The sequence below is a fragment of the Homo sapiens genome, chromosome 1 (genome assembly GCF_000001405.40).
Source record: "Homo sapiens chromosome 1, GRCh38.p14 Primary Assembly".
NCBI lineage: Eukaryota > Metazoa > Chordata > Mammalia > Primates > Hominidae > Homo > Homo sapiens.
The window spans coordinates 8,880,289-8,904,789 of record NC_000001.11 but is presented as its reverse complement, the minus strand read 5'-3'; the positions used below and the strand labels follow the sequence as shown (position 1 = coordinate 8,904,789).

Sequence of the window (24,501 nt, the reverse complement as noted above, 5' to 3'; positions counted from 1 at the left end):
TCAAGTTTGGGGAGGTGTCTTGTGGGAGATGTTGATGGAGATTACAAGCTAAAGCACTTCCATGGGTGCCCCCAGCTTATGGTGTGTCCATAAGCTGCAGAGAAATCAGCACCCACTTTGTAAGGCCGAAGTAGACAGATTGCTTGAGCCCAGGAGTTGAAGACCAGCCTGGACAACATGGCAAAACTCCGTCTCTACCAAAAAAAAATATAAAAATTAGCCATGTATAGTGGCACGTGCCTGTAGTCCCAGCTCCTCAGAAGGCTAAGGTGAGAGGATTGCTTGAGCCCAGGAGGTGGAGGTTGCAGTGAGCCAAGATCACACCACTGCACTCCAGCCTGGGCAACAGAGCGAGACCCTGTGAGGAGAGGAAAGGAGAGGAGAGGGGAGGGGAGGAGAGGGGACCTCTCCCCTCCCTATTCAACTTCTCATCCTGCAAAGTGCTCAGAGGAACACCTGTGAGAGGGTGGATCCCAAGAGAAAACATCCAGGTTATCCACATCCCTTGCCATCATTGGCTTCAACACAAGTCAAGGAGAAACTCAATACTGAGGTTGAAGTTTTTACAATTTGCTTCACCTCCTCTCTCTGCCATGGTAGTTGGAGCATGAGTGCTTTGTAAATTTCCGCCTGAAGGAGAAAAACATCCAAACAGCAAACCAGTGCCAAAACTTGCATACCACGGATGCCTGGCTAATGCCTCAGGCAACTTGCTGGGTTTCTGAACTAGGTTTGCGCCATTGGTCCAGGAAGCTGGGGAGAGATGTGGCTGGCTCATTAATCCTCACAGATCAGAGAGATCCTGCTGGAGCCATACAAAGTGCAGATGTCTTTTGTGATCTGTAAAACAAGTCCTCATGGGGAAGGTAACTTGGATGCCTGTGAAGGCTGGGTCCACGTCTTCAGAATCTCACAGGTGCAGGTGGGTTCCTGAAGATCACCACCTGTGTCAGAAAAAAACTCTATCCAAACTGCATTTTTCCTCTACTCTCACACCACAACAGTCAACACAGAAGAAGACTTCTGTGACCAAATGTGTGGGGGTGGACACCAGCTGGGTGTCCTGCAATTCAATTTCAACACTATCTACCTGGAGATGGCATCACATCCCAGGGCTTGAGAACTCAGTCTGCAAGACTATCTCCCCCAATGCTAGTCACAAGTCTGAGCCTCTGGAACTTCTGAGTCACTGGCTTCAATTTGGGGTTCCCATGACCCCCTCTTTGGGTTTGTTTTTTTGTTTGTTTGCTTTTTGTTTTTTTGTTTTTGACGGAGTCTCACTCTGTCTCCCAGGCTGGAGTGCAGTTGCGGGATCTCGGCTCACTGCAACCTCCGCCTCCCGGGTTCAAGCGATTCTCCTGCCTCAGCCTCCTGAGTAGCTGGGATTACAGGTGTGAGTCACCATGTCCGGCTAATTTTTGTATTTTTAGTAGAGACGGGGTTTCACCATGTTGGCCAGGCTGGTCTCGAACACCTGACCTCAAGTAATCCACCCGCCTTGGCCTGCCAAAGTGCTAGAATTACAGGTATGAGGCACGATGCCCAGCCTGGGTTTGATTAATATGTTGGAATGGCTCACAGAACTCAAGAAAACACTTACTTATGTTTAGTGGTTTATTATAAAGGATTCACAAGGGATACAGATGAAGCCATGCATAGGGTGGAGTTTAGGGGAAGCAGAGCTTCCATGCTCTCCTGGGTCTCACCACCCTCCAGGAACCTCCACGTATTCAGCCATCCAGAACCTCTCCAAACCCAGTCCTCGTGGCTTTTTTATGGAGGCTTCATTACATGGGCACGACTGATAACCGTGTAGAAATGTGATTGGACAAAAATCTCATGATCTAAACCCCCGGCAAGGCCTGTCTGTTCAGACTTTTCTTGGCCTCTCTCTCAGCATTCCTTCCTCTAGGGCAGGGCTGACCAATCTTTTGACTTCCTGGGCCACATTGGAACAAGAAGAATTGTCTTGGGCTACATATAAAATACTCTAGCACTAATGATAGCTGATGATCTTTAAAAAAAAATTGTGAAACAATCTCATAATGTTTTAAGAAAGTTTATGAATTTGTGTTGGGCTGCATTCAAAGCCATCCTGGACGGTGGGCTGAACAGTCTTGCTCTAGGGTATGGGGCAGGACCCTCTCTGGAATGAAGGTCTTTGGACCCACATCAGATTAGAATCCTGGTTGGACAGGTGAAAGAGGAACAGGAGAAGTTCAGAGGAGAGGTTCTGTTTCCTGAGGCCTCAAGTGCCCCAACATTATCACAGGACTGTGGGAGTTAGGAACGGGGATCTGCAGATGCAAACCAGTATGTATCTATCGTAACACCACACCGCCTATCTCCGCATGGACAGGTATGGACAAGGAGAGGGTCTGAGACTCAGAAGGTGGGTTTGTGGGAGCCAGAAAATTGAACCCAAACATCCCTTATGGAGAAGCACTTCATCCATTCAACAAAAATGTATTAAGGCCGGGTGCAGTGGCTCATGCCTGTAATCCCAGCACTTTGGCAGGCCGAGGCGGGTGGATTACCTGAGGTCAGGAGTTCGATACCAGCCTGGTCAACATGGTGAAACCCCATCTATACTAAAAATGCAAAAATTAGCTGGGCGTGGTGGCGCACCCCTGTAATCCCAGCTACTTAGGAGGCTGAGGAGGGAGAATTGCTTGACCTCAGGAGGCGGAGGCTGCCGTGAGCTGAGATGGCACCACTGCACTTCAGCCTGGGCAACAGAGTGAGACCCCGTCTCAAAAAAAAAAAATATATATATTAAGCACTCTTCTGCGGTGAGCAGGTCTATGCAAACCTACCTCCAAAGGCCCAGGGAGCTGAGAGGCCAAAGAAAGAGGCTGACAAACACAGTGATCAGAAGGAAACATTTAATAGGGACTTACGAACAGAAACCATGTCTCAGGCAGCCTCCAGATGACATGGTGGATCCCTACAATGTTATACCCCAAGACCCAGGGCTTATATACCATAGGGAATTTGCATAAGGGCAGGATTTATGGTAAGTATGTGTTTCAGTAATGTTGAGGCTTTCACTTAAGGGTAAGATTTACAGTAAGTTCATGAAAGTAGAAGTCTTTGGCTGGTCAGAGTGGCTCACGCCTGTAATCCCAACACTGTGGGAGGCTGATGAGGGTGGATCACTTTGAGGCCAGAAGTTCAACACCAGCCTGGCCAATATGGTGAAACTCTGTCTCTACTAAAAATATAAAAATTACTCGGAGGCTAGATGCGGTAGCTCATGTTTGTAATCCCAGTGCTTTGGGAGGCCCAGGTGGATGAATCATTTGAGGTCAGGAGTTCGAGACCAGCCTGGCCAACATGGTAAAACCCCATCTCTACTAAAAATACAAAAATTAGCCAGTGTGGTGACAAGTGCCTGTAGTCCCAGCTACTTGGGAGGCTGAGGGAGGAGAATTGCTTGAACCCGGGAGGCAGAGGTTGCAGTCAGCTGAGATCCTGCCATTGCACTTCAGCCCGGGCGACAAGAGCAAAACTCTGTCTTAAAAATAAAATAAAATAAAATAAAATAAAATAAAATAAAATAAAATAAAATAAAATAAAATAAAAATTAGCCAGGCATGGTGGTGCACACCTGTAATCCCAGCTACTTGGGAGGCTAAGGCAGGAGAATTGCTTGAACCTGGGAGGCAGAAGTTGCAGTGAGCTGAGATGGTGTCATTGCACTCCAGCCTGGGTGACAAAGTGAGACTTTGTCTCAAAAAAAAAAAAAAAAAAAAAAGATAGATGAGGTCTGCAGGATTGATATCATGAGATACAGGTCATAAAGACCCTGCTGATAAAATAGGATGTGGTCAAGAAGTCAGCCCAGGACAGGTGCGGTGGCTCATGCCTGTAATCCCAGGACTTTGGGAGGCCAAGGCAGGCAGACCACAAGGTCAGGAGGTCGAGACCAGCCTGATCAACATGGTGAAACCCCGTCTCTACTAAATATACAAAAATTAGCTGGGTGTGGTGGCACGTGCCTGTATCCCAGCTACTCAGGAGGCTGAGGCAGGAGAATTACTTGAACCTGGGAGGTGGAGATTGCAGTGAGCTGAGACTGTGCCACTGCACTCCAGCCTGGGTGACAGAGTGAGACTCTGTCTCAAAAAAAAAAAAAGAACTCAGCCCAAACCAGCCAAAACCAAGATGGCAATGAAAGTGACCTCTGGTAGTCCTCCCTACTCAGTATACATTAATTATAATACATTAGCATGCTAAAAGACACTCTCATCAGCGCCATGACAGTTTACAAATGCCACAGCCACATCCAGAAGTTAGCCTATGTAGTCTATTCCTTTATTTATTTATTTTAGTTTAGTTTAGTTTATTGAGACAGGGTCTTGCTCTGTCACCCAGGCTGGAGTGCAGTGGCACAATCTTGGCTCACCACAACCTCTGCCTCCGGCTTCTCCTGCCTCAGCTGCCTGAGTAACTGGGAGTACAGGAGCACATCATCACGCCCAGCTAATTTTTGTATTTTTAGTAGAGACAGGATTTCTCCATGCTTGCCAGGCTGTCCTTGAACTCCTGACCTCAAGTGATCTGCCAGCCTTGGCCTTCCAAAGTGCTGAGATTACAGGCATGAGCCACCATGCCTGGCCCAGAAGTTTACCTATATAGTCTAAAAAGGGGAGGAACCCTCATTCTGGAAATCACCCACCCCTTTCCTGGAAACTCATGAATCACCTGCAACGGAAATTCAGTGATGAGTAACTCAGAGGAGCGGTTAGAACTTAGGGCTTATATAGAGGCCAGGCTCAGTGGCTCATGCCTGTAATCCCAGCACTTTGGGAGGCCAAGGCAGGCAGATCACCTGGGGCCAGGAGTTTGAGACAAACCTGAGCAACATGGTGAAACCCCATCTCTACTAAAAATACAAAAATTAGCCAGGCGTGGTGGTGGGCACCTGTAGTAATCACAGCAGCTACTCGGGAGGCTGAGGCACAAAAATCACTGGAACCGGGGAGGCAGAGGTTGCAGTGAGCCGAGATAGCACCACTGCACTCCAGCCTGGGCAGCAGAGTGAGACTCTGTCTCAAAAATAAAGCAAAAGACGGCCGGGCACGGTGGCTCATGCCTCTAATCCCAGTACTTCAGGAGGCCGAAACGGGTAGATCACCTGAGGTCAGGAGTTCTAGACCAGCCTGGCCAACATGGTGAAACCCCGCTTCTACTAAAAATACAAAAATTAGCCACGCGTGGTGGTGGGCACCTGTAATCCCAGCTACTTGAGGGGGCGAAGCAGGAGAATTGCTTGAATCCGGGAGACAGAGGTTGCAGTGAGCCAAGATGGCAACACTGCATTCCAGCCTGGGGGAGAAGAGCAAGACTTTGTCTCAAAAAATAAAAAAATAAAAAAAATAAGACACATGTGGAGGGAAAAAAGAAGAAAAGAGGCCAGGCACGGTGGCTCACACCTATAATCCCAGCACTTTGGGACGACCAGGAGGGAGGACTGCTTGAGACCAGGAGCTCGAGACCAGTGTAGGCAGCACAGTGAGACCCCTGTCTCTACAAAAAAAATTGGCAGGGCATGGCGGTGTGCCAGCTACTCAGGAGACTGAGGCAGGAGGATCTCTTGAGCCCAGGAGGTTGAGGCTGCAGTGAGCTATGATTGTGCCACTGAGACCCTGTCTCAAAGAAAAAAGAAATGTTGTGTCCGGAATTTATTCTTTCCGGTGGGTTCCTGGTCTCGCTGACTTCAAGAATGAAGCTGTGGACCCTTGCGGTGATTGTTACAGCTCTTAAAGATGGTTTGTCCAGAGTTTATTCCTTCAGATGTTCAGATGTGTCCGGAGTTTCTTCCTTCCGGTGGGTTCGTGGTCTCGCTGACTTCAGGAGTGAAGCCACAGACCTTCGCAGTGAGTGTTACAGCTCTTAAACGTGGCGCGTCCAGAATTGTTTGTTCCTCCCAGTGGGTTCGTGGTCTCGCTGACCTCAGGAATGAAGCCATAGACCCTTGCCGTGAGTGTTACAACTCATAAAGGTAGTGCAAACCCAGAGTGAGCAGCAGCAAGATTTATTGTGAAGAGCGAAAGAACAAAGCTTCCACAGCATGGAAGGGGACCCAAGCTGGTTGCCACTGCTGGCTTGGGTGGCCAGCTTTTATTCCCTTATTTGGCCCCGCCCACATCCTGCTGATTGGTCCATTTTACAGAGTGCTGATTGGTGCATTTACAATCCTTTAACTAGACACAGAGTGCTAATTGGTGCGTTTTTACAGAGTGCTGATTGGTGCATTTATAATCCTTTAGCTAGACAAGAGTGCTGATTGGTGCATTTACAATCCTTTAGCTAGACACAGAGCGCTGATTGGTGCATTTTTAGAGAGTGCTGATTGGTGCATTTACAATCCTTTAGCTAGACAGAGTGCTGATTGATGAGTTTATAATCCTCTAGTTAGACAGAAAAGTTCTCCAAGTCCCCATCCAACCCAGAAGCCCAGCCGGCTTCACCTCTCAATCCCCCCTCTAAACAAGACACCCCAATTGCTGTTGGAAATTGGGCAATGACTGCTCTAGGTACTTCTTGCTGGATAGGGGTGAAGAAGGGGCCCTGCAGTTGTAGTGTCCTCCAGAGGGGAACTCTTTAGGCCAGTGAAAGGGCCAGCGGGTCGGTCCAGAGGTCCTCGGTAGAAGTTTTTAGTTGAGCTTATTTGGGGTTCCATTTGTAAGACCATCTGTAGCTTGATGGCCTCGATCCTAGAGGAAACAAATTTGACAAGGAGGTTAAAAATTACTTGCCCAAAGGCGAGTAATAGCAAGATGGCTGCCACGGGACCTAGAAAGGGGAGAAGCCATGTTGCCCAACTCCAGAGATTGGTATAAGAGTTTGAAAGGCATTGTCTGATTTCAGAAGCCTTTTCCTGTAAACGCCAGGCAGCATCTCATACTATCCCTGACTGGTTAGTGTAAAAACAACACTCTTCCCCTAAGAAGGTGCAGAGTCCTCCTTTCTCAGCAGTGAGGCGGTCTAGGCCTCGGCAGTTTTGGAGAGTCACTGCTGCCACAGAGTCTATTTGGGATTGTAGAGTAAGGATAGATTTCGTTATCTCTTGCAAACTGTCTGAGAAATCCTTTGAGAGTGTGTGGTAGTAGGATAATGAAGTAGATAAACTGGCTATTCTGGTTCCTGTAACAGTGGCCATTCCTAACCCTGTAAGTAGGGGTATTAGTTGTATGGCTCTGTGCTGAGGGACTTGAGCTTTGAGGGGTACTGATAGGGTCTGATTTCCTGGGGCAATGTTAATGTTGGGACTTAGAAAGACTAAGGTGCAGGTGCCTCTCCAGTTAGTGGGGAGGCAGATATAGGTTGACATTGCACATAAGAATATACCTTGGCTGGGTAGACAGAACTGGTTGTGTATGTTAAAAAGGTGTGTGAGTTTGTTGTTTTCATTTTCCCATACTCCTAGAGTACTTGCTAAGGTAGCTCCAGTGAGCGGCTGGAAAGGGGTGTTGGGAGCAAACTGAGTGGCTCCCTGTGTTCTATTTTCCCATTGGAGAAAAAATTGTTTTGTGTCTACTAGGAGCCATTCAAGAGAGTGATTGGAAGAGGGGATGAGAAGGCATTCACTAGTGGTGGGGGCGCTGCCACAGGGGGTCCAGGGGTGAATGGTCATGCAAGGAGTATGTTTGCCATTACAAAACCTGGACTGTTTGTTAAGCAGGGAGGAGGTGATGATTTTTGGAGGCGCTGAGAAGCAGACAAGCCATCTGAATGGAGCTGTTTGAGTGACTCAGAAGTTACTATGATTAGTTGGGGCTTGAAGTTGTAGGGTGTAATTACACTGATGGGGTAGTAGGTGCCCCAGGGGCAGGCCTGATAACAGGTTGCGTTGGATGCATAAAGGGGAAAGTTAAGATGGTATTCATAGTAACAAGACCATGTATGGGCTTTTCATTGCTTGTGTAATAGGTGAGGTTGGAAATGTAAGAACGTAAAAATTGGATTGCACATCCTGTTAGGGTATTCTTGGTCCTATCAGAGATGGGGAAGTTGGCTAATGATTGCATATTTAGAAGTCGGAAAGGGTCTTTTCCTTCATAACAAGGATGGTAGGTTAAATTGGTAAAGACCCAATTTTTTGAGGGAATGGGAGTGGCAACATAAGCAGAGGTGGATAGAGAGATACAAAGCCAACAGTCATTTGCCAGGGAAGGATTGGACTGGTTTAACAGAGACTGGGTTAAGTTGAGCGTCTTATAGAGGTAATTAGGAGCTAGTGGAAGGGGAGGGGTGATTGTATGAGGTATCCAAGGAAGCAGAGGGGACAGATAGACAAAGAGTAAATGGGAAGGTAAAGAGGGTGCTCTGGAAGACGAGATCATTTTATCCAGGCTGAGTTAAAGGTAGGAGTAAATTGCTGTCAGAAGGAAGGATAATAGAAAGAAGGTTGATGTGATTAAGATTTTCATCCTGGCAGGAGCTACAGTATATAGTCCTATCCTGAAGAGTATGGTTAGTATGCTGCTTAGTAATATAATGAAATAGTAAAAGGATTCCATCAAAGGGGCAAGGAGAAGTGTTAAAGATAAAGATTACGTAGGTTTTCATTTATCTTTTTTAAGGAGGAAGGGGTTTTTTTCAGGATCAGTGGTAGGAGCCCTTTTAGTCTGGATGTTTCCTTCCAAAACAGCACATGCAAGTCCTCCAACGGTTCGCAGGTGTATCGAGGCTGGTCTGGATGATCTTGGGACTCCTGAGCTGATGGTCCCTCAGGTTCCTCAGAGGGTGTCCAAAATTTAACTCGGATGTGGTGAATCCAAGATTCCATTCCTGCCACCTTAACTGCAGTGGGGGTAGAGAGGATTACCGAGTATGGTCCTTCCCACAAAGAATCCATACATGGGGAGGTAAAGGGGAGAGATTTGACCAACACTAGATCTCCTGTATTACAGGTGTGAGCCACCATGCCTGGCCAGACTGTTAATAGTAGAAGTGAAGTAGGGAGGGAGAGGAAACAAATATAATGTGTTTCTGTTTTGTTTTAATTTTTTATTTTTGAGACAGATTCTCGCTCGGTCACCCAGGTTGGAGTGCGGTGGCGCAATCTCGGCTCACTGCAACCTCTGCCTCCCGGGTTCAAGCGATTCTCCTACCTCAGCCTCCTGAGTAGCTGGGACTACAGGCAGGTGCCACCACACCCGGCTAATTTTTTGTATTTTTAGTTGAGACGGGGTTTCACCACGTTAGCCAGGATGGTCTTGATCGCCTGATTTCGTGATCTGCCCACCTCGGTCTGGGATTACAGGCATGAGCCACTGCACCCGGTCTGAATTTTTAAAACAAGCATAGAGTACTTTCTTTCTTTTGTAGATGGAGTTTTGTTCTTGTCGCCCAGGCTGGAGTGCAGTGGTGCAATCTCGGCTCACTGCAACCTCCGCCTCCCAGGTTCAAGTGATTCTCCTGCCTCACCCTCCCGAGTAGGACAAGAGTGCAACTCCGTCTCAAATAATAATAATAAAATGAAAATAAAAGAAAGCAGTAAAAAAGTCAGCTGCTCCTTTTCTTCCCTATTTAGAAAAAATAACTAGGAAGGTGTCTTAAGATTTAAACTATTTGAATTTTATTTTGATAAATTGTTTTATATGAATCACATAATGTAGTGTTCATACAAGCCCCACCAGTATACCCTTCCCCCATGAGACAGACTAATATGCAACAGTCCAGTGGGTTCACCTTGCCCACTGCCTAGACAGAGCCAGTTTCTCAAGACAGGGGAATTGCAATACAGAAAGAGTAATTCAGCAGGGCACAGTGGCTCACACCTGTAATCCCAGCACTTTGGCAGGCCAAGATGGATGGATCACTTGGGGTCAGGAATTCAAGACCAGTCTGGCCAACATGGTGAAACCCTGTCTCTACTAAAAATACAAAAATTAGCCGGGTGTGGTGGAACATACCTGTGATCCCAGCTACTCTCGAGGCCGAGGCAGAAGAATTGCTTGTACCCGGGAAGTAGAGGTTGCAGTGAGCCGAGGTCATGCCACTGCACTCCGGACTGGGTGACAGAGCAAGACTATCTCAAAATAAAATAAAATAAAAAGTTAAAATGATAAAAATGATAAAATTAAAAATTAAAATAATAAATAAAGAAAGAAGAGAAAGAGTAATTGACTCAGAGCCAGTAGTGAGGGAGATCGGAGTTTTATTTTTTATTTTTTTCCAAGCCAAACTGTATCCAGCTTTATTAAAGATACTTTCCATAAACAATCATGGTATTTCAGGCAGGACATGGGCAGACAATTGTTAACAGTATACAACAACTTTCAAACTCCCTTCTTCAATGGACTACGAAAAATCAGAAAGCCGCTATAAAACCCAAAGAAGTCTTCATCTCATGCTCTGAACAGGGAAAGTTTAGAGTGAGGGTTGACATTTCACATTTAGCATGTTGTTTAACAACTTTTCACAAGCCGACTCTGACTTTCAGGAAGTGAAATGAAAATGGCAGAATTTATCTGAAGATCCACAATCTAGAAATGGAACCACTGCTCTTTTGACAGGTGCCATCTCAGTGGCATCACTGGAAAGTCCAGATTGCCTGACACACTGGTAACCAATGACTAGGGGTCAGGTCCCAACAGATGCCTGGGATTAAAGGAGTTAAGTCTATGCTGAAAGATGGAAAGGGAGAAGAGGACATAAAAACAAATTTGTTTTTCCACACCACAAGGCTTTTGTGCCAAGGTGGCCATGTGTGTCAAAGTCAGGGAATCCCTCCTCCTGGGAGCCAAGAGGAAGTCTCTCAAGACTAGAAGGGAAAGGTGCTTTCTCCACATCAATCCAGCTTTGGAGACATTCTGTTAGTGACATATGCCCCTCCCCCAACAAACAATGAAGTGTTCTGTGTGCTAACAACATAGCTTTAAAAGAAAAATAAAAGTAAAACAAAATTCTGCATTTTTATAAAACTTGATTTAAAAAATGGTCTTTCAAACTGTACAGTCACTGGAAGTACACAGTTATCAAAAATGCACACACTTCACTTGGCCTCTCCAGCACCTTCAGCTTTCTGGGCCTGGTCTGTTTTGGCATCTCCACTTTCTGCAGGGCTATTCCCCTCCTTACCAGCATCAGCTTTTCCCTTTTTCCCTTTGGGTACCTTCTCTGCCTTCTTTGCAGGGGTCTTTTTAGGCTTGGGCTCTGGCTTTGGAGGAGCAGGTTTAGCAGACAACCTTGCAGACCTTCTCTGTGGTTCGTCCTTCACCTTGGCTTTACCTCCTTTAGCATCCCCTTCAGCCTTTCTCTTGGGCATGGTGGTGGCGGTGACGGTGGCGGGATGTAGGTGCTGTACGCGGGATGCGGCGGCGCGCGGGCTTTGGTCGGTCCCGGGGTCGTTCTCGCCTCTTCTTCTTCCCAGACTTTTATTATTACTCAAATCAGTCTCCCCGAGCATTCAGGGATCAGACCTTTTTTTTTTTTTTTTTTTTTTTCTGATACGGACTCTCGTTTTGTCGCCCAGGCTGGAGTGCAGTGGTGCGATCTTGGCTCACTGCAACCTCCGTCTCGCGGGTTCAAGCGATTCTCCTGCCTCAGCCTCCCGAGTAGCTGGGACTACAGGCAGGCACAACCACGCCCGTGTATTTTTAGTAGAGACGGGGTTTCTTTCTTTTTTTTTTTTTTTTTTTTTTTGAGACGGAGTCTCGCTCTGTCGCCCAGGCTGCAGTGCAGTGGCGCGATATCGGCTTGCTGCAAGCTCCGCCTCCCAGGTTCCCGCCAGTCTCCTGCCTCAGCCTCCCGAGTAGCTGGCACTACAGGCGCCCGCCACTAATTTTTTGTATTTTTAGTAGAGACGGGGTTTCACCGTGTTAGCCAGGATGGTCTCGATCTCCTGACCTCGTGATCCGCCCACCTCGGCCTCCCAAAGTGCTGGGATTACAGGTGTGAGCCACCGCGCCCGACCAGAGATGGGGTTTCATCATATTGGCCAGGCTAGTCTCAAACTCCTGACCTTGTGATATGCCTGCCTTGGCCTCCCAAAGTGCTGAGATTACAGGCGTGAGCCACCATGCCCAGCTGGGATCAAAGTTTTTGAGGATAATTTGGTGGGTGGGGGAAGCCAGTGAGCCAGGAGTGCTGACTGGTTGGATTGCAGATGAAACCATAGGGAGTTGAAGCTGTCTTCTTGTGCTCAGTCAGTTCCTGGGTGGGGGCCACAAGATCAGGTGAGCTAGTTTATCTATCTGGGTGGTGCCAGCTGATCCATCAAGGCAGGGTCTGCAATGTTTCTGAAGCACGGGTCTTAGGAGCAGTTTAGGGGCGGTCAGAATCTTGTAGCCTCCAACTGCATGACTCCTAAACCTTAATTTCTAAACTTGTGGCTAATATGTTAGTCCTATAAAGGCAGTCTAGTCCCCACCTCTTTCGTTTTGGGAAAGAGCTGTTATCCTCTTTGTTTTAAACTATAAACTAAGTTCCTTCCAAAGTCAGTACAGCCTATGCCCAGGAATGAACAAGAACAGCTTGGAGGATACAAGCAAGATGGAGTTGGTTAGGTCAGATCTCTTTCACCGTCTGAGCTACGATTTTGCAATGACAGTTTCAATATTCTCCAGAGCATCGGCACCTGCTGCCACTCTAGGCATTTACTGGCTTGTCATCTGCCTCCTGCACCAGAGCGTAAACACCATGAAGGCGAGAACTTTGCCTTGTTCTCTGTTCTATTCTCCATTCCTAAAACAGTGCCTGGCCTGGCATTTAATAGGCCCTCAGTAATGTTTGTTGAAGAATAAATAAATCAACCTTGATCTTCAGAGGAATGACAAGATAAATTTAGAGTGTGTAGCTTGAATCGTATTTCAACACAAATCAGAAACCAGAAGTATTGCTACCCCAGTTGACACTGTCAAGGAAAAACTTCTCCTTTATTAGGTTCAGCACTTAGAGTATACAAATTAAATTGACAAACGACAAGTTAGCAAGAGAAAAGATCTTTATTCATGTAGGTATAGAAGTTCACAGAAAAATGTGACCCAAGGAGGCAGTTAGAAATTGGGGCTTAATAAGGGAAGGACCCCTAAGGAAAAACAAATGACTTTTAGTAAAAATAAATGGGTCCCAAAGAGAATAGCTGGAAGATATGATGGTTTTGAAACTGCCTTTGCCCAGATTGTGACAGAGTGAGAAGTCTAGCCTGGCTGACTCCATCTTGCTTCGAGCCTCACAGGCTGGCTGTCTTCACTCATCCCTGGGCATAGGCCAAGCTAACCACGGGAGGAATTCAGTCTATAGTTTAACTTTGAAGCAAAGATGATAATAGTCCCTCTCTAAAACTAACCCCCTTCTTGCTCACGGACAGAAAACCACCTTTGACCACCTTTGCAAAACTAATGAAAGTCCACAAGATTAGGATTATGGGAGGGGCCTGAATTCTGTTAAAATGTAGGTGCAGGGCCAGGCACAGTGGCTCACGCCTGTAATCCCAGCACTTTGGGAGGCCGAGGTGGGTGGATCACCTGAGGTCGGGAGTTCGAGACCAGCCTGACCAACATGGAGGAACCCCATCTCTACTAAAAATACAAAATTAGCCGGGCGTGGTGGCGCATGCCTGTAATCCCAGCTACTCAGGAGGCTGAGGCAGGAGAATTGCTTGAACCTGGGAGGTGGAGGTTGCAGTGAGCTGAGATCACACCATTGCATCCAGCCTGGGGCAACAAGAGCGAAACTCCTTCTCAAAAAAAAAAAAAAAAGTAGGTGCAATTTGTTTGTTTGTTTAAGGCAGGGTCTCACTCTGTCACCCAGGCTGGAGTGCAGTGGCACCATCATAGCTTACTGTTGCAGCCTTGGCCTCCCCAGCTCCAATGAGCCTCCTCTCTCAGCCTCCAGAGTAGCTGGGACTATGGGTGCATGCCACCATGTCCCACTAATTTTTAAAAATTTTTGTAGAAGGCAGAGCATGGTGGCTCACATCTGTAATCCCAGCACTTTGGGAGGCCGAGGCGGGCAGATCACTTGGGGTCAGGAGATCGAGACCATCCTGGCTAACATGGTGAAACCCCATCTCTACTAAAAATACAAAAAATTTGCCAGGCGTGGTGGCGGGCACCTATAATCCCAGCTGCTCGGAAGGCTGAGGCAGGAGAATGGCATGAACCTGGGAGGCGGAGACTGCAGTGAGCTGAGATCGCACCACTGCATTCCAGCCTGGGCGATAGAGCGAGACTCAGTCTCAAAAAAAAAAAAAAGAAAGAAAGTACTCACAGGGTGGGAGCAGGCTGAGCATAAGGGCTCAAAAGCCCTGTTACAGAATTTTCTGGGGTTTAAATACCCTCTAGAGGTTTCCATTGGTTACTTGGTATACACCCTAGGTAAATGAAGAGGATGAAATAAAGTTACAAAATCATGTACTCGGCATATGCCCTATGTAAATAGAGAAGATATTTCCTGTCATAGCTGAAGTGTTCCCATTTGATTTTTTTTTTTTTTTTTTTGAGAGAGCGAGACTCCGTCTCAAAAAAAAAAAAAAGAAAAAGAAAAACAAGAAGCACTGGCAAGACATAAGCCCCTGCTTAGGGAGTTCGGATCTGAGGACCTGGCAGGAGAGGGAAGAGCCTCTGTCCAGAAGGAGCCCAAGGACACCCTGAGGACAGGACCGAGAGAGGAGCCCTGGCACTGGGCCTGGGATGGCGCCTCTCTTGCCAGGAGTCCGTGCGTAGGCTCCGGGGTATGAGGTCTGGGACTGTGTCCAAACAGGGCAGACTAATTGGGAAGTAACAGAAGCATCTTTGTCTTTGCGGAACTTAATTTCTGTGGTTAATAGAATAAGAGGCAGGAGCCTGGGATGTTGATTCTTAGCCTTGTTTCTTGTCGTTGTTATTTTTTTAATCTTGAGGTTTCACAAATAATCTCAGAGATATTCTAAAGATCTTAAACGAATGGAAAGTAAGTTTAGTTTGCTTTAAATATATATTATACATATATGCATACATATATGCATATATATAGTGTGTGTATATTGTGTGTGTGTGTGTGTGTGTTTACGGTAAAGCCCCGAACTGCAGCCTTCAGATGTTGGAATTCTCCAGACCCTCCTACAGAGGGCCCCCAGCCTCTCCAGAACAGCCCCTCCTGAACCAAGATGACATGGAAACACCATGTCATCTTGGAAATGGTTTCTTCTCTGAAACTGAGATGCCCTCGGCCTCCCTGGGAATGCTCTCTGTAGTCGTCCTCATCTCTGGAGCCACAAAGACTAGGTCTATTCCCTTTATTGCATAATAGTCCTTCAGTAAGTGGAGTTCAGATCTCAAGTCTGCTCTCTTCCTACGGGGACTTGGGGAGGTGTGTTCCTGTGTCCCTCACATCCTGCTTCCCTAAGAGGGGCCCTATGTGTCCTTGTTACTTAGAACCAAGGACCCTTCCCCAGAGTACGAACTTCACACTGGACGTGATTCTCTTTCTTTTATTATGTTTTTGAGGCAGCCTCTCGTTCTGTTGCCCAGACCAGAGTGCAATGGCGCAATCACCGCTCACTGCAGCCTCAACCTCCTGGGCTCAAGTATTTGTCCTGCCTCAGGCTTCTGAGCAGCTAGGACTATAGGTGCATGCCACCATGCCCGGCTAACATTTTAAACTCTTGTAGACACAAGATGGGGTCTCACTATGTTGCCTAGGCTGGTCTCAAACTCCTGGACTCAAAGGATCCTCCCTCAGCTTCCCAAAGTGCTGAGATTACATGTGTGAGCAACCACACTCTGAGTGATCCTTTTATTCATTTGTTTGTTTTGTTTTACTTTTTATTATTATTATTTTTTTTTTTTTTGAGACAGTCTCGCTCTGTCACCCAGGCTGGAGTGCAGTGGTGCGAACTCGGCTCACTACAAGCTCCGCCTCCCGGGTTCACGCCATTCTCCTGCCTCAGCCTCCCGAGTAGCTGGGACTACAGGCACACGCCACCACGCCCGGCTAATTTTTTGTGTTTTTAGTAGAGACGGGGTTTCCCTGTGTTAGCCAGGATGGTCTCGATCTCCTGACCTTGTGATCTGCCCACCTCGACCTCCCAAAGTGCTGGGATTACAGGCGTGAGCCACCATGCCCAGCCTATTTTTTTATTTTTTGAGATGGAGTTTCACTCTTGTTGCCCAGCCTGGAGTGCAATGGCGTGATCTCGGCTCACTGCAACCTCCGCCTCCCAGGTTCAAGCAATTCTCCTGCCTCAGCCTCCCGAGTAGCTGGGATTACAGGTGCCCACCACCACACCTGGCTAGTTTTTATTTTTAGTAGAGACGGGGTTTCACCATATTGGTCAGGCTGGTCTTGAACTCCTGACCTCGTGATCCACCTGCCTCGGCCTCCCAAAGTGCTGGGATTACAGGCATGAGCCACCGCGCCCAGCCTCGTTTTGTCTTCTAAGAGACAGGGTCTCGCTCTGTCACCCAAGCCGTAGTGCAGTGGCACGATCATAACACATTGCAGCCTCTAACTCCTGGGCTCAAGGGATACTCACCCTCAGCTGTTTGAATAGCTGGGACCACAGGCACACGCCACCGCTCCTAGCTAATTTTTGTTGCTGTTGTTGAGACAAGGTCTTGCTGTGTTGCCTAGGCTGGTCTCAAATGCCTGGGCTCAAGCAATCCTCACACCTTGGTTTCCCAAAGTGCTGGGATTTACAGGCATGAGCCACTGTGCCCAGCCAAAACTATCAGCTTTGCTTGCAAATGTATCTGGAATCCAATCACTTCTCACACATCCACTGCCACAACCTACAAGACCTACAGGGCCACCGTGGTCTCTCCCTGGGACAAGGCAAGAGTCTCCTCATCGGCTGGGCAGTGGCTCATGCCCATAATCCTGGCACTTTGGGAGGCCAAGCTGGTGAATCGCTTGAACCCAAGAGTTCTAGATCAGCTTGGACAACAAAGTGAGACTTCTCTCTACCAAAAAAAATAAATAATTAGCCAGGCGTGGTGGTACATGCCTGTAGTCCCAGCTACTCAGGAGGCTAAGATGGGAGGATCACTTGAACCCTGGAGGCTGAAGCTGCAATGAGCTGTGATCATGCCACTGCACTCCAGCCTCAGTGACAGAGCAAGACCCTGTCTTAAAAAAAGAAAGGCTGGGCGCGGTGGCTCACGCCTGTAATCCCAGTACTTTGGGAGGCCGAGGCAGCTGGATCACGAAGTCAGGAGTTCAAGACCAGCCTGGCCAAGATGCTGAAATTCCGTCTCTAGTAAGTATACAAAAATTAGCTGGGCTTGGTGGCACGCACCTGTAATCCCAGCTACTTCGGAGGCTGAAGCAGGAGAATCACTTAAACCTGGGTGCCAGAGGTTGCAATGAGCCAAGATCAAGCCACTGCACTCCAGCCCGGGCAACAGAGCAAGACTTCATCTCAAAAAAAAAAGAAAAAGAAAGAAAGAAAGAAAGTCTCCTTATTGAGCCTCCCTGTTTCAGCACCTCCCACACCCCCGTGGTAGACTGTCTTGGGTTGTGGGGGGTCCTACTATCCAGGCCCGTGGGTAGCCCCTACCACCGACTCTGGGCTTGACCATGGGACCTGTTTTGGCCAATGAGACAGCAGCAAGCAGAGGCCATCTGCACTTGCACACTGGGACTGGCCCTCTTGGATCATTTGTTTTTGGGCTACAGCTTCCATGTGAGAAGCTAGGCTGGACCACAGGTGAGCACACTTTCTCTATAAAGGGCTGGATAGTAAGTATTTTCAGCCTTGTGGGCCTTGCAGTCTCTGTTGAAACGACTGGATTTTGCCATTGCAGCTTGAGAGCTGCCATATACAATATGTAAAGAAACGGAGCCTGGGCAACATAGGAGACTCCGTGTTTACAAAAAAGTTAAAAAAAAAATTTAGCTGGCCATGGTGGTACACACCTGTGGTCCCAGCCACTTGGGAGGCTGAGATGGGAGGATCACTTGAGCCTGGGAGGTTGAGGCTGCAGTGAGCCATGACTGGCAGCACTGCACTCCAGCCTGGCCAACAGAGCAAGACCTGTCTCAAAAAAGAAAGGAAATGAGTGTGTCTGTGTTCCCACAAAACTTTATTTATAAAAACAGAATTTGGACCCTAGGCCATAGCTTGTCAATCCCTGGGCTAGACAGACTACTGAATGATGAGAAGCCATGTGGAGAGACCCTGCAGAGTCAGAGGCTCTAGTAGGTTGAATAATGTCCTCCCACAAAACTTCATGTTTATCCGCAGCCTGTGACTATGACTTCGGCTGCCAAAACACAGCTCCTTAGACTGGGCAATTTACAAATAGTAGACATTTATTTCTCACAGGTCTGGAGGCTGGGAAACACAAGATCAAGGCGTCCACAGATTTGGTATCAAGTAAAGGCCTGCTTTCTGCCCCTGCTCCATAGATGCTGTGCCCTCACATGGCAGAAGAGAAAGGCAGCTCCCTCCAACCTCTTTTATGAGAACCTTAATCCCATTCATGAAGGCAGGGCTCAATCACCTACCAAAGGCCCCACCTTTTTTTGTTTGTTTGTTTTGAGACAGAGTCTCGCTCTGTCACCCAGGCTGGAGTGCACTGGCATGATCTCAGCTCACTACAAACTCCACCACCTGGGTTCAAGTGGTCCTGCCTCAGCCTCCTGAGTAGCTGGAATTACAGGCACCTGCCACCGCGCCCGGCTAATTTTTATATTTTTCGTAGAGATGGGGTTTCACCATGTTGGTGGTAAGGCTGCTCTCGAACTCCCGATCTCAGGTGATCTGCCCGCCTCAGCCTCCCAAAGTGCTGGAATTATAGGTGTGAGCCTCCATGCTCAGCCTGTCAGTTTCATCCAGTCTCCTACCTTTGCTTTTGATATCAGTACCTTAAGGAGACTCATTCAGCCAGTTAGAAATCTACCCACTTGCTTTTCTGTTCAAAATGCGTAAGAGAAATCTTCATTTCTCTCCTAGCCCCAAGAATTACCTAAGAGGCTCTGAGAAATGCTGTGCTGAAATCCATTCTCTTCTCAGCATTTCCCTGACCACCAGGAAACAAGACAAGCAAACAAAAACCCCATTTAGTCAGAGAATTCCAGTGCAGGAGGTGTGGGGACTTTACTTCCAAGGACTTCACTTCATGGGAACTGTAACGTGTTTGTGTGAAATCAGAAAGTCTCTTGTTTTTGAAACAGAGTTTCTCTCGTCACCCAGGCTGGAGTGCAGTGGCGCTATCTCAGCTCACTGCACCCTCCACCTCTTGGGTTCAAGCAATTCTCCTGCCTCAGCCTCCCGAGTAGCTGGGATTACAGACACCCACCATCACACCCAGCTAATTTTTGTATTTTCAGTAGAGACAGCGTTTCACCATGTTGGCCAGGCTGGTCTCGAACTCCCAACCTCAAGTGATCTGCCCTCCTCGGCCTCCCAAAGTGTGGGATTACAGGCTTGAGCCACCGGGCCCAGCCGAAAATCAGAAAGTTTCTACCCCTCTGCTTAGGAAATGCCAGAAAACATCAACCTGAGTATGGGGTTGGGGACATTTTATCATTGGAACTCCAATGCTGACACAGTGTAACTGGCATTTCTGACTGCAAGCTGCCTCTCCTGACTGCAAACCTGTTCTAGAGAGAACACAGAATCCGGCAGACACAAAAGCTTCCTGAGTGATGTTTCGCAAATCCTGAAGCTGCTACAGCTAAATTCTAGGTAGTTGTGGTATAGATAAGCAAATCAAGACAAGGTTCCTTGGACTAACGGTGGTGTTGTAGCATTTTACTGGAATCCGAGGACTAGGGGAATGAACAATCTTCATCTTGGAGGAGCACAATGCTGAGGTTGGGGGCGAGGACTGGGGACCAGGCTGCGTTAGTTGGTCCTCTGGCACCTCAGCCAGCAGCTGCTGCCTCCCTGCCCCTTGGAAAGTGGAGACGATCAGATGGAGTGTGCTCATGGACGTGCTTACAAGATTAAATGAGTTACATATACAAGCATCCTGGTGTCTGGCAAGTAACGAGGCCTCAGCAACATTATTTTTTTTATTTATTTATTTTGACACAGAGTCTCACTGTGTCGCCCAGGCTGGAGTGCAGTGTGGCACAATCTCAGCTCACTGCAACCTCTGCCTCCTGGACTCAAGCAATTTTCCTGCCTCAGCCTCCCGAGCAGCTGAGATTACACACATGTGCCACCACGCCCAGCTAATTTTTGTATTTTTGTAGAGATGGGGTTTTGCCATGTTGGCCAGGCTGGTCTCAAACTACTGACCTCAGGTGATCTGCCTGCCTCGCCCTCCCAAAGTGCTGGGATTACAGGCATGAGCCACTGTGCCCGGCCCAGCAACTTTATTGGTCTGCGATAGATGCAGGGAGAATTTTCTCATTATCTTGTGGTGTGCCTGAAGGCGTGGTGAAACCCTGCTCCCCACGCCTGAATCACGCCAGATCACTACCTTCTGAAGAACGTGGCTCCTCATTTTCCATCTGGAACTCAGCAATTGTTACCTGACCTCTCCTCCTCTCAAGACAAGGGCCTTCCCAGGGGCCGGCACTCCTGCCTCCAAGTGATGCTGTGACAACCTTAAGAAACTCAGCGGCCGGGCGCGATGGCTCATGCCTGTAATCCCAGCACTTTGGAAGGCCAAGGAGGGCGGATCGCCTGAGGTCAGGAGTTCAAGACCAGCCTGACCAACATGGAGAAACCCTGTCTCTACTAAAAATACAAAATTAGCTGGGCGTGGTGGCACATGCCTGTAATCCCAGCTACGAGGGAGGGTGAGGCAGGAGAATCGCTTGAACCTGGTGGGTGGAGGCTGCGGTGAACCGAGATGGCGCCACTGCACTCCAGCCTGGGCAACAAGAGTGAAACTCCATCTCAAAAAAAAAAAAAAAGAACCTCGGCAACAACCTTAAGAATTTTGTGAAAAAGAGGGAGGGAACAGAGACACGTGAAAAGAAAACTGGCTGGATAACTTCCTGCAGATACTATTTAGGGATATTAGTGCCTTCTAGGTGTCCATTCTAGCTTGAAACAGTAATTCCCAGACTGCCGACCTCCCCCTGAGACTATTATCACATCCATCCCAAAGATAAAGGCGCTGGGGCCCTGAGGGAGGCCATGCTGAGCTCTTTGATGCCAAATAGAGATGCTTTCCTCTGATGCCTGCTGAGACAGACTTTCCAGAAGTTGTTCTCCCTCGGCTGTCACTTGGGTGCCCCTTCATGACCTCTGCCCAGGGGAACTCTGCTCCCAGCTTCCCCAGCTCCCCTGGGCCTTCTTGCTTAATCACCTCCCCTTTACTCCTCTCATTTGGACACCCTGAGGAATGCCAACCTAGCATGACTTGCCAGCACATATACTAAAAAAAAATTGGAATGATACAGAGAAGATCAGCATGGGCCCCGCGCGAGGACGTCATGCAAATCTGTGAAGTGTTCTGTACTTATAATTTTTTTATATATATTTAAAAATAAAATACGGCTGGGCACGGTGGCTCACACCTATAATCTCAGCACTTTGGGAGGCTGAGGCGGGAGGATCAAGAGGTCAGGAGATCAAGACCATCATAGCTAATACGGTGAGACCCCATCTCTACTAAAAATACAAAAGCTTAGCCGGGCGTGGTGGCATGCGGCTGTAATCCCAGCTAATCCGGAGGCTGAGGCAGGAGAATCGCTTGAACCCGGGAGGCAAAGGTTGCAGTGAGCCAAGACTGTGCCCCTACACTCCAGCCTGGGTGACAGAGAGAGACTCTGTATCAAAAATAAAATAAAATAATATAAAATAGGCTGGGCGAGGTGGCTCATGCCTGTAATCTCATCACTTTGGGAGGCCGAGGCAGGTGGATCACGAGGTCAGGAGTTTGAGACCAGCCTGGCCAACATGGTAAAACCCTGCCTCTACTAAAAATACAAAAAAAATTGGCTGGGCGTGGTAGTGGGTGCCTGTAATCCCAGCTACTCAGGAGGCTGAGGCAGGAGGATCGCTTGAATCCAGGAGGCAGAGGTTGCAGTGAGTCGAGATCGCATCAGTGCACTCCAGCCTGGGCAAAAAAAAATGAGACTCCTTCTAAAAATAAAAAAAAAAAAATCATTTTAAAAAGCAAGGGAATAGACCAGGTGCGGTGGCTCACACTTGTAATCCCAGCACTTTGGGAGGCTGAAGCAGGTGGATCACGAGGTCAGGAGATCGAGACCATTCTGGCTAACATGGTGAAACCCCATCTCTACCAAAAATACAAAAAATTAGCTGGGTGTGGTGGCGGGCACCTCTAGTCCCAGCTACTCGGGAGGCTGAGGCAAGAGAATGGTGTGAACCGGAGAGGCGGAACTTAAAGTGAGCTGAGATCAGCCACTGCACTCCAGCCTGTGCGACAGAGTGAGACTCCGTCTCAAAAAAAAAAAAAAAAAAAAAAAAAAGCAAGGGAATAATAAAACACAAAATTTAGAATAGTGGCTACCTCTGGGGTCAAAGAACATACAGGGGACCTAAATGACATTACTAATGTTCCATTTCTTTTTTTTATTTTTTTGAGAAGGAATCTTGCTCTGTCGCCCGGCTGGAGTGTAATGGCACACTCTTGGCTCATTGCAACCTCCGCCTCCCGGGTTCAAATGATTCTCCTGCCTCAGCCTCCCGAGCAGCTGGGAGTACAGGCATGTACCACCACACCCGGCTAATCTTTGTATTTTTGGTAGAGATGGGGTTTCACCATGTTGGCCAGGCTGGTCTTGAACTCCTGACCTCAGGTCATCCACCCGCCTTAACCTCCCAAAGTGCTGGGATTACAGGCATGAGCCACCGCACCCGGCCTCCATTTCTTTTTTCTTTTTTTTTTTTAACTTTCCATTTCTTTTCTTTTTTTAACTCTTGTTGCCCAGGCTGGAGTGCAATGGCATGATCTTGGCTCACTGCAACCTCTGCCTCTTGGGTTCAAGCAATTCTCTTGCCTTAGCCTCCTGAGTAGCTGGGATTACAGGCATGTGCCACCACACCTGGCTAATTTTTTGTATTTTTAGTCGAGATGGGGTTTCACCATGTTGGCCAGGCTGGTCTCAAACTCCTGACCTCAGGTGATCCACCCCCCTCAGCCTCCCAAAGTGATGGGATTATAGGGGTGAGCCACCATGTCCGGCCCCATTTCTTCCTTTGAGACAGGTCTTTATCTCCCAGGCTGGAGTGCACTGGTACAATCATAGCTCATTGTAATCTTAACCTCCTGGGCTCAAGTGACACTCCCACCCGAGTCTCCCAAGCAGCTGGGATAGGACTACAGGCATGTGCCACATCTGCCTAATTTTTTAGTTTTTACAGAGACTGGGGTCTCCTCCATGTTGCCCAGGCTGTTCTGCTGTTCTGGAACTCCTGGGCTCAAGCAATCCTCCTGCCTCAGCCTCCCTAAGTGCTGGGAGTACTGATGTGAGCCACTAAGCCTGGACTCTAGGGTTCCATTTCTTTCTTTCTTTCTTTTTTTTTTTTTTTTTTTTTGGAGACGGTGTCTCGCTCTGTCATCCAGGCTGGAGTGCAGTGGCGTGATCTCGGCTCACTGCAAGCTCCGCCTCCCGGGTTCAAGTGGTTCTCCTGCCTCAGCCTCCTGAGTAACTGGGACTACAGGCGCCTGCCACCAAGCCCAGCTGATTTTTATATTTTTAGTAGAGACGGGGTTTCACCATGTTGGTCAGGCTAGTCTTGGAACTCCTGACCTCGTCATCCGCCCGCCTCGGCCTCCCAAAGTGCTGGGATGACAGGCGTGAGCCACCGCGCCCAGCATGGTGTTCCATTTCTTAAGCGGGATGTGGGTACACAGAGATTTATATACGCTTTATGTAGTCTCTGGTGTACGTGAAATACTGAGTGATGAATACCAAAACCTCATGATCTGTTATGAGGAGGGACCATCCAGCTACATCCCCTTCTGCACTCATCTGGTATCTTACCTCCCCAGAGCTCCTTATCCAACCCTGAAGTTCCCTATCTGGCTGGAGACCCTCTTTCACAAAGATCCCTTTCTCAAGCTGACCAGTGATTTTTACACACGTATCACAGGGAGAATCAGTAATCCAAGCGAGTTACAGGTCGTAGCAGATTCACTCTCCCTTGATCCCGGCCACCTGCAGACACCATGCATGTGTTACCTACAGTGCTTCAAGGTGTGGTATTCTGATAGCTTTGGACAGTTATTCCCCACCTGCCCACCACCAATAAAACTTCTCAACAAGCTTACAGCAAGTGAGAAATAATAACTAAATGCAATGCCGTTGTGCTGACTACAAGCAAATGTGAACCCCACAGCCTGCTAACAAAGCCTAAGGAGCTATGGAAACAGGGAGGGCATTTGGCAGCCTGTGAATTTTGAAAAAGATTTCAGGACATCTCTAGTAATCATTAACATTTTAGCTACAATGTGAGGTCGAAGTGCTGGCTCAGAATGTGGCGCTGCAGCCTCCAAGAATCTTGCAACGGCAGCAGTCCGGGATCATGTTCGGCCTCTGATTTCCTGCTAGATTTACTGGTTCTGGCCACAGCAGAGTATCTTTATCTCTCTAACCATTTTTATGTAAAATAAGATTGTTTGGAGCCCTTTC

General features: G+C 47.9%; 2 pseudogenes, besides 1 other annotated feature; one reads left to right on the top strand and one right to left on the bottom strand.

Moving 5' to 3' along the window:
* HMGN2P17 (high mobility group nucleosomal binding domain 2 pseudogene 17) lies at positions 10,187-11,379 on the bottom strand (annotated as a pseudogene).
* Positions 20,587-21,306: an enhancer, noted in NCBI's record as "NANOG-H3K4me1 hESC enhancer chr1:8943543-8944262 (GRCh37/hg19 assembly coordinates)". NCBI's record gives its function as "activates a minimal SCP1, AML or CMV promoter by ChIP-STARR-seq in primed H9 embryonic stem cells {active_cell/tissue: H9 hESC(primed)}" and the evidence as "EXISTENCE:reporter gene assay evidence [ECO:0000049][PMID:30033119]".
* Positions 21,257-21,363, top strand: RNU6-304P (RNA, U6 small nuclear 304, pseudogene; annotated as a pseudogene).